The 18,111-nt window shown below is 39.0% G+C and overlaps 1 protein-coding gene across 5 annotated transcripts in view; it reads right to left on the bottom strand.

The window, feature by feature from the left end:
* The window catches only part of BLM (BLM RecQ like helicase), a 98,821-nt gene that overhangs the window by 63,537 nt on the left and 17,173 nt on the right, over positions 1–18,111 (bottom strand). For all 5 annotated transcript variants that reach the window (NM_001287246.2, NM_001287248.2, NM_000057.4 and 2 more), the window contains 3 exons: positions 5,140–5,241; positions 2,563–3,263; positions 684–843 (listed from right to left, as the gene is read on the bottom strand). In NM_001287246.2, the coding sequence (NP_001274175.1) occupies positions 684–843; positions 2,563–3,263; positions 5,140–5,237 (959 nt within the window). In that variant the 5' untranslated portion in view covers positions 5,238–5,241. The remainder of the gene's footprint in view (positions 1–683; positions 844–2,562; positions 3,264–5,139; positions 5,242–18,111) is intronic.

Raw genomic sequence — 18,111 nt, 5'->3', positions numbered from 1 at the left:
AATGGCCAATTCTATCCTGTAGGATTTTTTTAAAAAGTACTAATGTCCTAATTCACTTCCCATATAATGGGTTAGCTTTGTGTCATTTCAGGTCAGGTTTGGAAATATAATATTTTTAGAAATATATTCCTTATGTCAAAATCAACTATATAAGGCCAGGCAAGGTGGCTTATGCCTGTAATCCTAGCACTTTGGGAGGCCAAGGCGGGCGGATTGCCTGAGCTCAGGGGTTCAAGACTAGCCTGGGCAACATGGCAAAACCTCGTCTCTACTGAAAATACAAAAAATTAGCCAGGCATGGTGGTGTGCACCTGTAGTTCCAGCTACCTGGGAGGCTGAGGCACAAGAATCACTTGAACCCGGGAGGTGGAGGCTGCAGTGAGCCAAGATCATACCACTTCACTCCAGCCTGGGTGACAGAGCGAGACTGTCTCAAAAAAAAAAAAAAATCAGCTACCTAAAATTGTTTGAAGTTTCATGTAATTAATCATAATGGGACTTCATCTTTAGAATGCAACCAATTAAATGTATAAACAGGGTTTTTTTTTGAGGCTTTCACTTGAATGTAAAATAATTGTAGAAAGCACAAAATACTTTTATATAGAAATGATATTATAAACTAAATTAAACAATTTAAAGTATCCCAGAAACAAATAATAATGCTAATTATTTAGCTAGTTTACCTAAGGCATTTTGAAGAGGAAGAAGAAGCAGAAATAATTTCTTCTGGAGAAGGTGGAACAAAATCCGTATCATAATCATCATCATCAAATTCAATACATGGAACTTTCTCAGTTGAATGTAATTCAGCTTCTTCCAAATTCTTCTTCTTTTCGCTATTATCTACAGTAAAACAGTTGATAAACATAGATTTGTTAACCACTAATGAGACAGAAAGAACAGGGCATGAGCGATTAAGAATGAGTGCTTCTGGCAAGTCACAAACAATCACACCACTTTGTATGGATCCTCTCCCTTTACATGCTAATGCTGGCTTATTTATTCATAAATGATTACTATTGAGTCAAGTGGATTAAGTCCAGTGAATGCTCGACTGAGGCCGAAGATTTGCTTAGGGATTTTCATGTCTGTCTCTGGTTAATTACGAAACACGTATTTGCTATTGACGTTTCTAGTTTTTAACTTTTCACTCATATTTAAATAAGGGTAAAGTGCAACAGATAAGTCTGATAATAACACAAACACGGCTGCTTGTACAAATCATCTTTAACACAAAGTTTCCCAGTTATTTAAGTCTCTCTTTTGGACTATGTGGGAAAACACAACCCAAATTGTTGCTGTCTATCTTTTAACAAATTTTCCCTTCAGAAACAGAGGCATCATTGATGAGACTATAGTTTTGCTTATCGTCAATCACTTTTCAGTGCTCTCTCACCCTAGAGTAACCTTAATGGGATTCAGGGGTTTAAAAATTTTACTCTCATATTTGCAACTGCTTCATAAGGTGAGTTACTTCCCCATGTGGGTAATCTCAGTTACTCAATTTTGGACATTAAATAATTACAAGATCTAGCCAGGAAAAACTTTGAATGTAATTTATAATACTTTAATAGTGCAATTAGAGCACATTATACATCAATATTAGGTGGCAACAAGCCATAAAGGAATTACAGTAGAAAGGCTTAGTTTCATTTTCCAATTTACCACTAACCACCATTTTAACCTCTATGGATCTTACGGCAGCAACCCCCTTATCTTCAGGAAATATGTGACAAGACCCCGGTGGATGCCTGAAATCTCGGATAGTATCAAACCCGATAAGTACTATGTGTTTTCCTATACATACATACCTATGATAGAGTTTAATTTATTAATTAAGCACAGCAAAAGGTGAACAACTAATGAAATAGCACAATTATAACAATATTCTGCAATAAAAGTTATTTGACTGTGGTCTCCCTTGCTCAAAATATCTTACTCTACTCACCCTTCCTTTGTAAAGATATAAGATGATAAAAAATGCCTATATGATGAGATGAAGAGAGGTGAATGATGTAGGCATTGTGATGTAAATGGAAAATCCCAGAAATAAATTAATTCATAAGTGTTCAGTTTCAAGCTGTTTTGAGTATAGTGTGATAAAATCTTGCCCCGACCTGATCTGTCCACCTGGGTTGCTGTTAATCACTTAGTAGTGGTCTCAGTTATCAGATTGACTGTCGCGGTATTGCAGGGCTTGTGTTTTCTTAATAATGGTCCCAAAGCGCAAGAGAAGTGATGCAATATTTTCAGACCTCAGCCGGCTGCGGGTAACTGAAACCTCAGAGAATGCAAAGCTGTGGACAAGGGGAAACTCCTGTATTTTCTTCATGTATAAAATCACAGAGCTATCCTGGAAACTATATTAGCAGACTAAAACCTTCCATTTCATCAGTACGTCCTGCCTCAAAAATGTGGCCAACAGATTATTCAAAAAGCACCACTAAAGACCCTAACAACCTTAAGGACAAAAGCTCTATATATTCATGACTATTCCCAATGGCTAGCTTTGAATAAAAAAGTACAATGAACATACTAAAATGAAGATAAAATAATTGTTACCTCTTTCATCTTCCAAATGAGTTTTCAGAGAGTCACTTTCCTGAGCATCTTCATTTATATGCACTTCAGCAATGGGGCCATCATCGATGCAAATCACATCGCTGCTTAACCATTCTGAGTCATCCTTCTGTTCCTCAGTCAAATCTATTTGCTCGCTTTCAGAGGAGGGTGGAGGCAAATCAGTCTTTACTGTGTTTGTTGTATAAAGCTGTGCTTTAAAAAAGTTTCTCTTACCCTTTTTTGATTTCTGAGCAGTGCTTACTCTTACAAAGTGACTTTGGGGTGGTGTAACAAATGATTTTGAAGTCTCAGAAGTATCAAAGTCATCCATATCATCCCAATCATTGATGGTACTTAAAGAATCTGGTGAAGAACTAAATTCTAATTTCTTGAGAGCAGTATCCCGGGATTTCTTTACAGTTGGTGTGTTTTGGGTAGTGCATACAACTTCCTTCGGAGTCTGCAAGAAATCTGGCAATAATGATTTTGATCCACCTCTCTGTGTTTCCTGTCCTGCTGGAGCATTTTTAAAGAAGTCCTTGACCCTTTGCTGATTTGTGGTGTTGGGTAGAGGTTCACTGAAGGAAAAGTCTTCGGTAACATTAACATCTTTATTTCTTAATACAGGTGTTTTTGCTACTGACACATTAGTTACAGATACATTGTTATCTGAAGATGTTTTCTTTTTAAAAGTGAAACCTCTGAAAAATAATGGAAAAACTAGATTAGATGGATCCATTTTAAGAAACCCCCCAACTCTACAAAACTAATTTTTTAAACTAATTCACACAGGTTACATTAATTGTATCCCAACTGAGCAAAGAATCCATCTCTCTCGATTTTAAATTTATCAGGTAACTTAAATTGTATTCGTTCTCTGGTCCTTCCCATTCAGAGGCTAATTATTTGGCTTTGAGAGGTCATTCCCACTACTTTATTTCTCAGGCTAGTAGTCCTTAGTTAATAGCATCTCCAGAGCGGGGTGACAGCATAAATGAAAAAGGGAAGAGGCCGGGTGCAGTGGCTCATGCCTGTAATCCCAGCACTTTGGGAGGCCGAGGCAGGTGGAATGCTTGAGGTCAGGAGTTCGAGACCAGCCTGGCCAACATGGTGAAACCCCACCTCTAATAAAAACACAAAAAATTAGCCGGGCATAGTGGTGTATGCCTGAAGCCCTAGCTAGTCAGAAGGCTGAGGCAGGAGAATAGCTTGAACCCAGGAGGTGGAGGTTACAGTGAGCCGAGACTATACTGCCGCACTCCAGCCTGGGTGACAGAGCGAGACTGTCTCAAAAAAAAAAAAAGAAAAAAGAAAAACGGAAGAGATTCAAATATGGCTACTTTTTGCTACTCTGATAAGAACTTAAAGGGGAAAAAGAGTTAAAAACTGCTAACTCTGTTAAAATCTGCAGGACAAGTAAAAGACGCAGGAATCGTGGCTATCTGCTGGATTTAATGATCTCAAAGTCAGTGGTGACTTCAAAGCCAGGCACCCAGAACAAAGTCTACAACCTGGTAAAAGCATCACTTATAATATAAATTATTATTAGATATCATTAGAAGGAGTCTGGAGTATAGCTTAGAGGAGAGGCAGAACTGGAGAGCTGTAGTTTCCTTATAAACTGTTCTTCGAAAGTATATAAAATTATATTAAAATAATTGGCCGGGCGTGGTGGCTCACGCCTGTAATCCCAGCACTTTGGGAGGCCAAGGTGGGCGGATCACTTGAGGTCAGGAGTTTGAGACCAGTCTGCCCAACATGGACAAATCCTGTCTCTACTAAAAATACAAAATTAGCCAGGCATGGTGGTGCATGCCTGTAATCCCAGCTACTTGGGAGGCTGAGGCAGGAGAATCACTTGAACCCGGAAGACGGAGGTTGCGGTGAGCTAAGATTGTGCCATGGCACTCCAGCCTGGGCAAGAAGAGCGAAACTCCGTCTCAAAAAAGAAAAAAAAAAAAAGGCTGGGCACGGTGGCTCATGCATGTAATCCCAGCACTTTGGGAGGCCGAGGCAGGTGGATCATGAGGTCAGGAGATCGAGACCATCCTGGCTAACAAGGTGAAACCGTCTCTAAAAAATACAAAAAAAAATTAGCCAGGCGTGGTGGCAGGTGCCTGTAGTCCCAGCTACTCGGGAGGCTGAGGCAGGAGAATGGCGTGAACCCAGGAGGCGGAGCTTGCAGTGAGCCAAGATCGCGCCACTGCACTCCAGCCTGTGCGACAGAGCGAGACTCCGTCTCAAAAGAAAAAACAAAACAAAACAAAACAAACAAAAAAACCCCCCAAAACTTAAAAAACACTTATTTGCCCAAATTTACAAGATCAATTATTCATTTACTCAACAAATCTTTATTGAGCAAATATTATGTGCCAGGAACCATGCAAAGATGAGACACAATCTCACCTGGTGCTGCTAAAACATACTCTACCATTAATTGGCAAAGTGGGAAAATCAATGAATCTCTCAGCTTCATTTCCTCATCTGTACAATGGGGGAGTTTAAAGAGAAGATATCTCATGTGTACAATGTGGTAAGTTAGTGCCTATGTGACAGCAAACCAGTCAAAACACTTACGAAAATTTTGGTTTTGAAAGACTTAATTTATTATTAAGTGTTCTGGCTGAGTGACGTTCTAGTTGCTCCTGTAGATTATTTTGAGGAACAGCAGCCATAATCCTAAAAAGTGAGGGAAAAAGAAATCAGTGGAGTTAGGTACTTTGCATTAATCACAATGTTTTTTGAGGGGAGGAAGGACTTGATTCAAACAGGCATTGTTCCAACTGTGCCCAGAGTAATAGGACTTTTTTTTTTTTTTTTTTTTTTTTTTGGTCAATAGACTGTTTTGACATTTACAACTAGTGACACTTGAAATATATAATCTTCAACTAACTGAAGGCTCACTTGAATAACAGAATAACCAGGTTCCCCCTCTCTTCCTCCACAATGCTAAAATAAGTACAAAAGACATTAGGGAGGGGATTATTAGGAAAGGGCTTTTAGAAAAATGGGACCTGGCCTGGAAGGATAAATGAAAGCTGGAAGGGAGCGAGGTGGGAGGAAATGATCAAAGCACACGGAAAGCCCAAAGAACAAATGAATAACTGAATTCTGCACAAGGGCAGAACTGGGGAAAGGAGGAACACCACCACCAATGAGAGCAAAGGTTTACCAGCAAGATACTATGCTTCATAATCATCTAGTTTCAACCTGAAAGAATACGTTTACCAAGCACATTTATATCTCTGTGTAACAAGCTGTGGTAACGCTGAGCTATAGCCCAGGATAACAAACAGCTTAAACCACCTTAAAATTACTGGGGCTAAAGGAAGATCCTAGCTGTAATCCATGCATAGTTAAAAAAATCCTCACTTTAGCTGATAGTTATAACCCCATAAACCCTTTTCCCTACCTTTACTAGACATCTATTTTTATTTTATAGCATATATCTTAGGAGGCAGGGTTAACACTAGATGATATTTCTAGAAATATGAAGTTTCGCATAAGCCGTGTTCCACTCATTAACCCATATCTATCAACCATCTTGACTTTAGATAACAGTGAAAATCAGAATTTAGAAGAAACTAAGTTACATCCAATTGAGAAATCTTCATGTTTATAAGCATGATCATAATACAGCTTTTGTCCCACTTTCTCCAGAAGGAATTATTTCTGCTTCTTTTCCCTCTTTAACATGCTTTAGGTAATATAGCTAGTTATTTAATAAACATTGAATAATTCACACTGGCATGTGAATTATATCTTAATTATTACCCCCAAAAAAGTAGATGGAAGGAATGAATCCCTACATACCTATCACCCAGATTCAACAATTATCAACTCATCCAATATTGTTTCAGCTATACATACACCCTGAGGTCCTTACTCCACCATTTTGGAAGTCCACCTCCAAAATGGTGACATTTCGATTCTGTTATTACTTCTTTCACTCATTAGCAGGAATACTTTTTGTTTGTTTGTTTTCTTTCTGAGACAGGGTCTTGATCTGTTGCCCAGGCTGGAGTACACTGGCTCAATCACAGCTCACTGCAGCCTCGACCTCTTGGGCTCAAGTGATCCTCCCACCTCAGCTTCCTGAGTTATCTGGGACTACAGGTGTACACTACCACAACCCAGCTAATTTTTAAATGTTTGGTAAAGACAGGGTCTCACCATGTTGACTAGGCTGGTCTCGAACTCCTGAGCTCAAGTCATTCTCCCACCTCAGCCTGCCAAAGTGCTAGGATTACAGGTGTGAGCCATGCGTAGCCAGCTGTAAGACTTTTATCGTAAGTTTCAAAATAATGATGCAGTACACTAAAAGCCCATACTTCACTACTATACAGTATATTCACGTGGCTGGCAGCAGTGGCTCATGCCCATAGACCCAGCACTTTAGGAGGCTGAGGTGAGCGGATCGCTTGAGCCCAGGAGTTTGAGACCAGGCTGGGCAACATGGCAAAACCCTGTCTCTAAAGAACTATAAAAAAATTAGCCTGGCATGGTGGTGCGGGCCTGTGGTCCCTGCTACTCAGGAGGCTGAGGTGGGAGGACTGCTTGAGCCTAGGAGGCAGATATTGCAGTGAGCTGAGATTGTGCCACTGCACTCCAGCCTGGGCAACAGAGCAAGACCCTGTTTCAAAAAACAACAAAAAAGAAGTCTACACTTGTATCCCTTACATACATTAACAATAATAAATAAAAAATGATATTCATTCTTTCACCACCTTCAAATAGTGATGAATTTTTTTTCAGTATCATTATGAACTCATGGATTAAACATATTAGGTGTGTTTCAATCCAATACAGTGATCATCCTTATTGATTCTCAAATTGATTCATGTTTGGCCAGTGGGAGTCTTTTCAGGCGGGCTCTTCAGTCCTTATGACTTAACCTTATGAGTCATTGAGAGCTTCTTTCCTCTCAAAAGATGTTCCAGGCATACCTTATGCATTTTTTTGCACCAGATTTGGAATCGGCCATTTCGTCAAGCATCCCTAATTCTTGTTTTCTTTTTCTTTTTTGAGACAGGGTCTCACTTTGTTGCCCAGGCTGGAGTGCAGTGGTGACTCACTGCAGCCTCCGCCTCCCCAGCTCAAGTGTTCCTCCCACCTCACCCTCCCACACAGCTGGACCACAGGTGCACACCACCATGCCCCACTAATTTTTTTGTATTTTTGGTAGAGATGGGGTTTCACCATGTTTCCCAGGCTGGCCTCGAACTCCTGTGCTCAAGGGATCCTCCTGCCTCCGCCTCCCAAAGTGCTGGGATTGCAGGTGTGAGCCACCGCGCCCAGCCTCCCTGATTCTTTTTAATGGAGAATATTTTAAGACCTTAATCTCTGCATTTCCTAGGGCACTTCACCATTTGGAATCCAGTTTAAAAGTATTGATCTTGGCTGGGCACGGTGGCTCACGCCTGTAATCCCAGCACTTTGGAAGGCCGAGGTGGGCGGATCATGAGGTCAGGAGATCAAGACCAACCTGGCCAATATGGTGAATCCCTGTCTCTACTAAAAATACAAAATTAGCTGGGCATGGTGGCATGTGCCTGTAATCCCAGTTACTTGGGAAGCTGAGGCAGGATAATTGCTTGAACCCGGGAGGCAGAGGTTGCAGTGAACCGAGATTGTGCCACTGCACTCCAGCCTGGTGACAGAGCTAGACTCTGTCTCAAAAAATAAATAAATAAATAAAAAATAAAAGCCTTGATCTTTTGTTGAGGCGTCCCCTCTTCAAGGTCCTGTACAATGTGGGAGTCTTTCCCACATGAATAAATACGAAGTGATAAAGAGTGAAGTCAGACTATTGCCCTCTAAGAATTTCAACATCAACAAAGTAGACTACTGACAAGGAGGCAGAGGTACACAGATCTTCAGTCTTAATGACACTAAGCAGAACAAAGTGGTCTATGGCATCATTACTTACCCTTTTCCCACATTCCTTCCATAACTTACTTATTTTTGGATCAAAACTAGCCATGATATTTTAATAAGAGATTTCCTACATTACTCCACAGCATGGTTTTATATGTCTACTTAGCCATCCCAGGAGTACAATTGTTTGATTAACTATTTTATAACTGTAGTGATTACACTATGGATTCACAGCTAGCATGCAGTCAACCTTAACTCCAGGGGACCTCTTCCTGCTTTTAAAATGCACTGCTCTTTGGTTATTCCTCACGAGGTAGCACCCTCCAGCCAGAATCATATTCTGAAGTATGGTAATGAGTACATAATTTTCTTACTCAAAATCCTCAGTGGGAATGCTTTCAGGAAGTTGGTGAGTACTAAGAACCATAAGGGTGTCTCTTCTGTACATACTCCATCAAAATATCGATACAATTGTTGGACACAAAAAGAAAATTGTTCACCAACATGCCTGTAGTCTCAGCTACTCAGGAGGCTGAGGCAGGAGGATTGCATGAGCCCAGGAGTTCAGGGCTGTAGTGCACTATGATCACACCTGTAAACAGCCACTGCACTATAGCCTGGGCAACACTGTGAGACCCCATCTCTTAAAAAAAATTGTTCATCCACAATAACAAAGACCAGTGATAAAGGAGAAAAATTAACTGAAAACAAATAAATTGAGGCTAGTGAAGTTTCACAATATTAAAAAAAGGAACAATTTCTGGGTGCAATGAGCAACCAGAAACTAAAAAAATAAACCTATGAATTAGAATGACCACAAGAATCACAAGTTCAATCTGGAAAATGATTAAAATTTTCTCCTACATATATGAAAGAAGTTATCATGCCATTACAAAAGAATATAAATAAGCAGGCCAGGAGCGGTGGCTCACGCCTATAATCCCAGCACTTTGGGAGGCTGAGGCAGGGGGATGGCTTGAGCCCAGGAGTTTGAGACTAGCCTGGGCAACACAGGGAGATCCCATCTTTAGCCAGGCATGGTGGCACACACCTACAGTCCCAACTACTCAGGGAGGCTGAGGTGGGAGTATCCCTTGAGCCCAGGAGTTCGAGGCTGCAGTGAGCAATTCTGTGCCACTGCTCCAGCTGGGGTGACAGTGAGACCCTGTGTTTAAAAAAAAAAAAAAAAAAAGTCACAGGAAATGTAAGCTTCAAGCATTACCTTTAAAACTGGCTATTAAGAATTTTTCAAATAGGCTGGGCACGGCGGCTCACACTTGTAATACTAGCACTTTGGGAAGCCAAAGCGGGAGGATCGCTTGAGCCCAGGAGCTGCAGAGCAGCCTGGGCAACAAAGTACGACCTGTCTCTACAAAAAAACACAAAAATTAGCTGAGTGAGGTGGCACATGCCTGTAGTCCCAGTTACTCAGGAGGCTGAGGTGGGAAGGATCATTTGAGCCCGGGAGGTCGAGGTTTCAGTGAGCCATGATCACCCCACTGCACTCCAGCCTGGGCAACAGAGACCCTGTCTCAAAAATAAAAAAAGAATAAAAGTAAACACAATAAACCTTTAAAAAAAAAAGAGAGAGAGAGAGAGACATGGGATGGAGAAAAACACAGCAGAAAAAAAGAGTGCCTTTTCTTTGAAATAAGTGACACTAAAGTTACTGGTTGGGGATCTATCAAAATTAAGACTAGGTCAAACCTTACTTTTTATTCATTTTGTTGTCAAAGATGGCTATTTCAGTCTATCAAGGGATAGACTGCCAAAAAGACTACTCCAAGACATTCAGTGCCAAGTAACATTTAGATGTTTCTGTTTCCAGTCTTCTGCTAAAAGTGGAGATTTTAGGGGGTGGTTCCTGAAAAACAGAGCGTCGCTCTGTAAGCCTCACTCAGTGACTGTTCAAAGGGGAGGAGTTACTTTCCCTGGGGCAAAGGTGGTGAGCCTAACTAAGAACGATCAAAAAATCTACTTTTTGTATTTTTTTAAGTTGAGGTATTTATGAACCTCAGCTTTACCTTAACTGGGGCACTGGGGCAAGCAACTTTCTGTTCTCTGATAAAATTAAACATCAAACACAATTTCTAGACAAAGAGAGATTTTTGACAGAATTTTATGTCATATGTTCTCTTCGTTCATGGTTTCTTAAACTTCTTGATTCATATATATAGAATCACACAGTATGTATTATCAATGCATTTTTGAAAAGGCACCTAATAAAACTCAAACCATGTCTAACAAACACATTAAAACACAAAATTACAAGTGTTTAAAATCTAGAACCAACAAATACCATATATTTTACACTAGGGGTGAATCCATTAAAAACAACAGCAAAAACAATATTGTTCTCTCATTTTCACTCCCATATTGGATGCTCTTGCCAATGCAAAAATATTCGAAAAAGGAAATACTAGAAGAGATGAGATTATCATTATATGTAGACAACTTGATAATATACCAATACAACCCAAAGAAAATCAGTCATAACAATAGATAATTAGAACTTCAGAAAAGTGGCTAAAGATAAATATAGCTATAAATGTAGGGTAAAATCTCAGACCCTTCATAGTTTTTGACTTAATAGATGCACACACAGAGAGATAGAGAAAACAGATGGAAAATATGAGAAGTTAGGAGACATGGAAGACAGAGTAGAAAGTCTAACATAAATCTAGCCAGAGTTCCAGAAAGAAGAGAAAATAGGGAAGAATTAATATTTGAAAAGATAACAGCTGGGACTTTTCCAGGACTAATTAAAGACACTAACCTTCAGATTTGAGAAAGCCAAAAAATTCCAAGCAGAGATAAAAAGAAATCCACACCCAAATATATCAGTGTACCATATGGACAAAAAATTGATTTCTCTTTAGCAAAAATGAAAATCAAAAGACAGTGGAATGATATCTTCGATGTGCTGATAGAAATTAACCCAGAATTCTTTTCCCAGAAAAAATATCTTTCACAAATCAAGGGCAGTGAATTGTACACTAGGTTTTTAAAGGTGAATTTCATGGTATATGAATTATATCTCAATAAAGCTGTTATTTTTAAAAAGTAGCTATAATAAAAGCAACAGATAAGTGTTGGCAACAATGTGGGGAAATCAGAACCCTCATACACTGCTGGTAGGACTCTAAAATGGCACAGCCACTTTGGAAAACAGTCAAGCAGTACCTCAAAAAACGAAACATAGTCACCACGTGTTCTAGTCCATTTTCATACTGCTATGAAGAAACACCTGAGAGTGGGTAATTTATAAAGAAAAAGAGGTTTAATGGACTCAGTTCCACATGGCTGGGGAGGCCTCACAATCATGGCAGAAGGCAAAGGAGGGGCAAAGGCACATCTTATATGGTGGCAGGCAAGAAAGTGTGTGCAGGGGAACTGCCTTTTATAAAACCATCAGCTCTCGTGAGACTTATTCACTCTCACAAGAACAGCATGGGAAAAACCCATGATTCAATTACCTCCCACGAGGTCCCTCCCATGACACATGGGGATTATGGGAGCCACAGTTCAAGATGAGATTTCAATGGGGACACAGGCAAACCATATCACCATGTAACCCAGCAATTTCACTCCTAGCTATATATGCGAAAGAGTGAAAAATGGGTACTCAAAATAAATACTTGTACACAAATTGTTCACAGGAGCATTATTCACAATAGCCAAATTCAGAAACCACTCAAATGTCCATCAAGTGATGAATGGATAAATAAAATGTGTATATCCATTCAACAAAATGTTATTTGGCCACACAAAAAAATATAGTACTGATAAATGCTACAGTAATGACGAGCCTTGAAACCATTATGTTAAGTGAAAGAATCCAGCCACAAAAGATGAACTAGTGTATGATTCCATTTATATGAAATGTATAAGAATAGACATATCCATGGATACAGTGTAGACTACTGATTGCCTAGGGTTGGGAAAGATGAGAGGATTTGGGGATGATGGCAAGGGGTATGCAAATTTCTCTGTGGGCTGATGAAAATGTTCCAACATTGATTGCGGTGATGGTTGCATAACTGTGAATATACTCAAAGCCATTGGATTGTACAGTTTAATGGGTGAATTTTATATGTGTAATGTATTTCAATAGACCTGTCATTCAGGCCAGACACAGTAGCTCATGCCTGTAATCCCAGCCCTTTGGAAGGCTGAGGCGGGGGGATCGCTTGAGCCCAGGAGTTGGAGACCAGCCTGGGCAATATGGTGAAACCCCATCTCTACAAAAAATACAAAAGATTAGCCAGGAATGATGGTGCATGCCTGTTGTCCCAGCTACTTGGGAAGCTGAGGTGGGAGGACTGCTCAACCAGGAAGTCGAGGCTGCAGTGAGCTGTGATTGCACCACTGCACTCTAACCTGGGCAACAGAGCAAGACCCTGTCTCAAAAAAATAAACAAATAATAATTTAAAAACAATACAGCTGTTATTTAAAATGCCACAAGAAATAGAGACACTTCCAGATTATCAAAAAAACAATAGTTTGTCATCAGCAGACTCATACAGTATGGGAATCATAATGTATTCACACTGTAAGTGGAATCATACAGTATTTGCCTTTTCGGGACTGGCTTATTTCACTCAGCACAGTGTTCTCAAGCTTTATCTATGTTGTGAGACATGTGTCAGAATTTCCTGTGTGCAGAGCTCGCTGCAGCCTCAATCTCCTGAGCTCTAATGATCCTCCCACCTCTGCCTCCGGAGTAGCTGGGATTACAGGTATGAGTCACCATGCCAGGCTCCTTCCTTTATTATTATTAATATTTTTTGAGATGGAGTCTTGCTCTGTTGCCCAGGCTGGGGTGCAGTGGCGCAATCTCAGCTCACTGCAACCTCTGCCTCCCGGGTTCAAGTGATTCTCCTGCCCGAGCCTCCTGAGTAGCTGGGATTACAGGTGCGTGCCATCAAGCCCAGCTAATTTTTCTGTTTTGTATTTTTAGTAGAGACGGGGTTTCACCATGTTGGCCAGGCTGGTCTTGAACCTGTGACCTTGTGATCTGCCTGTCTCAGCCTCCCAAAGGGCTGGGATTACAAGTGTGAGCCACCGCGCCTGGCCGCTCCTTCCTTTTTAAGGCTGAATAATATCTAACTGTAGATACATACCACATTTTCTTATCCATTCAAGGACGTTAGGGTTGCTTCCACCTTTTGGCTATTGTGAATAATGCTGTTATGAACATGGGTGTACAAATATCTTTTTGAGAATTGCTGAATCATATGGTAATTTATGTTTAATTTTTAAGGAACCACCACACTGTTCTCCACAGTGGTTGCACCATTTCACATTGCTATAAATAATGCACAGGGCTTCCCATTTTTCCACATCCTAATTTCTCCACATCCTCAGCAACACTTGTTATTTTCTGGTTGTTGTTTTGTTTTATAACAGGCATTCTAACAGGTGTGAGGTCTTATCTCCTGGTTTTGATTTGCCTTTCTCTAATGATTAGTGATAATAGGCATCTTTTCATTTGCTTATTGGCCATTTGTATATCTTCTTTGGTGAAGTGTCTATTCGAGTCCTTTCTCTATTTTCTAAATGGGTTATTTGTTGAGCTGTATGAGTTTTTGTTTTGTTTTGTTTTGTTTTGTTTTGTTTTGTTTTTTGAAACAGGGTTTCACTCTGTCACCCAGGCTGGAGTGCAACAGCTCACGGCTGCCTCGACCTCCCGGGCTCAAGTGGTCCTCCCACCTCAGCCTACGGAGTAGCTGGGACCACAGCAAAGTACCATCACACCTGGCAAATTTTTAAATTTTTTGTAGAGCCAGGGTTTCACCATGTTGCCTAGGCTGGTCTCCAACTCCTAGGCTCAAGAAATTCTCCCGTCCCGGCAGCCTCCCAAAGTGCTGAGGAGTTCTTTATATATCCTGGGTATTAACCCTTTATCAAATATATCATTAATTGGAAGAGCTTGAGGAAAATTGGACTTAATTCTTCTTTAAATATTGGTTAGAAATGACCAGTGAGGCCATCTGGCCCTGAGCTTTTCTTTGTTGGGTGATACCTGATTACTAACTCAATCTCCTTACTAGTTATAGGTCTGTTCAGATTTTCTGTTTCTTCATGATTCTGTCTTGGTGGTTATGTGTTTTGAGGAATTTATCCATTTCATTTATGTTATCAAATTTGTTGGCATACATTTGCTCACAATATTCTCTTATAAATCTTTTTACTTCTGTAAATCAGTTATAATGTCCCCTTGTTCACTTCTGATTTTAGTAATTTGTCTTATTTTTTCTTAGTCCATCTGGCTAAAGTTTTATCAATTTTTTTATCATTTCAAAGAATCAATTCTGTTTTGTCAATTTCTCTACTGCTTTTCTAGTCCCTGTTTTGTTTATCTCTGCCCTAATATTTATTATTTCCTTGTTTCTGTAGCTTTGGGTTTGGTTTGTTCTTTTTACTGTTCCTTTAAGTGTGAAGTTAAATTGTTGATTTCAGATCTTTCTTTTTTAATGTAAGCATTTGTAGCTATAAATTTCCTTTCTAGTACTGCTTTCACTGTATTCCATGAGTTTTGGCATGTTGTGTTTTCGTTTTCATTGTCTCAAGATATACTCTAATGTCTCTTGTTTTCTTCTTTAATCCATTGGTTCCTCTGTCCTTTAAAGTGTTCCCATCAGGCACTTTCTTATTACCTGGCACAACATTCATGGTCTTCATTTACTTTTCCTGCTTCAGCCATAGAATCACCATTTCCTCAAACAGCCTTCATTTATTTTAATGAGGAAAAATCTTTAAAATCTAAGACCTGGCCATTAGATATGATCTGCTACTTGCATATCATTGCTCCTAGGCCCTTTTAGTAGACAGATCTAGGAAATATAAACACTTCTATCTATTTCTGTATCTACAGCTATACATCCATTGATCTATCCATCTATCTTAAAATTCATAGAAAAAACCATCATATATTTATTCATTTATTCAATCTGAAACTATAGGAAGTAATTTCAAATTGCTACACTCCTGTCACTAAAAAAAAAAAACCTACTAAGAAGAGTTCAAAATTCAGTTGCATTTCTTTCTTCAGATTAAGGGTACATAATTAAAGTACTATATTCAAAAGTTACTTGATTGGTCAGTCCCACCTCACCTTCAGGGTGATTACATTCATCATTTGAATTAGATTAGTTTGTGTTTGTACTGTTCTTGTGGATTTGATTTTTGAATATATAAAACATTTACATAGTTCTAAAAGTTAAAACTACATAAAAGACTGTTTTTCCCCACAGAGAAGTGTTCTTCCCTCTCCATCCTTTGCCATCTACTTCCTGTGGGTTATCAATTTCAATAATTTCTGATTTATCTTTCCTGTTTTTCTTTTTGCAAAATAAGCAGACATTAGAGTCTCATATTTTCCCTTCTTTCTTACATAAAAAATAGCACACTGTATGTACGCTTTCCATTCATGTTAGAAATCACTCTACACCCGTTTGCAAAGATTTTCCTCATTCTTCTTTACAGCTGTACAGTACTCCATTGTGTAGATATTTACCAACAAATTTCCTGTATGGACATTTAAGGTATTCCCTGATATTTTACAATTACAAATAATGCTGCAACAAATAACTTTGTGCATTCATATTTCCCTACTGTTGAAAACGTAAGGCCGGGCACGGTGGCTCACACCTGTCATCCCAGCAATTTGGGAGGCAGAGACAGGATTGCTTGAGTCCAGGAGTTCAAGACCAGCCTGGGCAACATGGTGAGACTCCGTCTCTATAAAAAAAATTTTTAAATTAGTAAGGCGTGGTGGCATGCACTTGTGGTCCCAGCTACTCCAGAGGCCAAGGTGGGATCAATTGAGCCTGGGAGTTTGAGCTGCAGTGAGCCAAGATCACACTACTGCACTTCAGCCTGGGCAACAAGCAAGACCCTGTCTCAAAAAAAAAGGAAAGAAAGAAAAGAAAATGTATCTTTAGGGAATATTTCTACAAGTGGAATGGCTGGGTCAAAGGGCAAATGCATGTGTAGTCTGCTGGATTGCCAACTTCTCCCTCAAAGGAGGTTTTACAAGTTTGCATTCCTCACAGCCTCACCAATGGGGCTTCTTGTGAAGCTTTCTAATTAGTGCAGAGCTGATAGGTGAGAAACGGTATTTCAGTGCAGCTTTAAATTTACACTTCCTGTTTAGGTGAAATTGAATATTTTCTTCACATATTTAAGGATGGTTTTTGAATCTTTTTAAAAAATTGTATCTGCTCATGTATTCTGCCTTTTTAACCAAATTTTAGTATTTTTTTCTCTCAATTTAGACTAGGGATAGTAGGTCTTTAAAATGTATTTTGCAGATTTTTTTCCTGGTTTCTCATCTATCTTTTAAATTTGCTTATGGTGTTTTTCATTTTTGTAATCAAGAATTTGCTTTTCAATGTAGCCAATTTTTCCCCCTCTTTTATTGCCCTTCTCCACATCCAGGTTACAGAAAACTCATCTATGTATTCTTCTAGTAGGTAATTTAAAAAAAATTAGATTTCTGGTTCATTTGGAGTTTATTCCTGTGTCTGATATAAAGTATAGATATAATTTTGTTTTTTCAAGTGGCTAACAAGTTGTCCCAGCACTATTTATAAAGAGTCCATCTCTGCCCTAATAATTTCAGAACTACCTTTATCATACACTAAATTCTTCATGTGTTTAGGAGACTAATTATTGACTTTCCATTCTATACCATTGGTCTATACCACAATATTATCATGATAGAAGCTTTGCAACATGTTACAATATCTGGAAGTCTACTTTCTCTTTGTAGCTCTTCTGTTTTCCTATTCTTATATGTTTATTTTTCTATATGAACTTTAGAATCAACTTGTCTAGTGCCAGAACTCTGTTGATATTTATATTGAGATTGCATTAAATTTATATATTAACTTAGGTATATGTATTAACTTAAATATATATATATATATATATATATATATATATATATTAACTTAGGCACTTTTATGATGTTGTTGTCCTGTCCTAGAACAAAAGATTTCATTTGTTTAAGGCTATTTTTGTTATTCAGAAGTGTTTTAAAGATTTCTTCACCTAGGTTTTACATGTTTTTAAATTCCTAAATATTTTCTCTTTTTCTTGTTGCTGTAAATGGGATTTTACCCTTCATTATATATTCAAACTTGTTGTGTATATGAAGACTACTGATTTTTGCATATTCTTATAAAATTCCTTTTCTGTTTAGTTAGTTTCATTATTGATTTTCTGCAGTATTCCAGACACACTACCATATCACCTGCAAGTAGGGACAATATTACTTTTTATTTTCCAAATCTTGTGCCTCTAATTGATTTATCTAACTGCATTGGCTAAGCCCCCAGTACAATGTTAAATACAAGTGGAGTTGGTGAGTATCTCTATATTTTTCTCAATCTTAGTAAAAATGCCTCTAGTATTTTCCTATTAGATAAAATACAGGATTTAGGAATAAAGTCTCTCTCTCTCTCTCTCTCTCTCTCTCTCTCTCTCTGCGTGTGTGTGTGTGTGTGTGCGTGCGTGCGCGCGTGTGTGTGTATGTGTGCGTGAGAGACAGAGACAGAGAGAGAGAGAGAGAATACCATCATTAAGAAGTATTGATTGGCCAGGCATGGTGGCTCACATCTGTAATCCCAGCATTTTGGGAGGCCGAGGTGGGCAGATCACCTGAG

The sequence above is a fragment of the Homo sapiens genome, chromosome 15 (assembly GCF_000001405.40).
Source record: "Homo sapiens chromosome 15, GRCh38.p14 Primary Assembly".
NCBI lineage: Eukaryota > Metazoa > Chordata > Mammalia > Primates > Hominidae > Homo > Homo sapiens.
The sequence above is the reverse complement of the archived record's forward strand: the minus strand, read 5'-3'. Positions and strand labels throughout refer to the sequence as shown.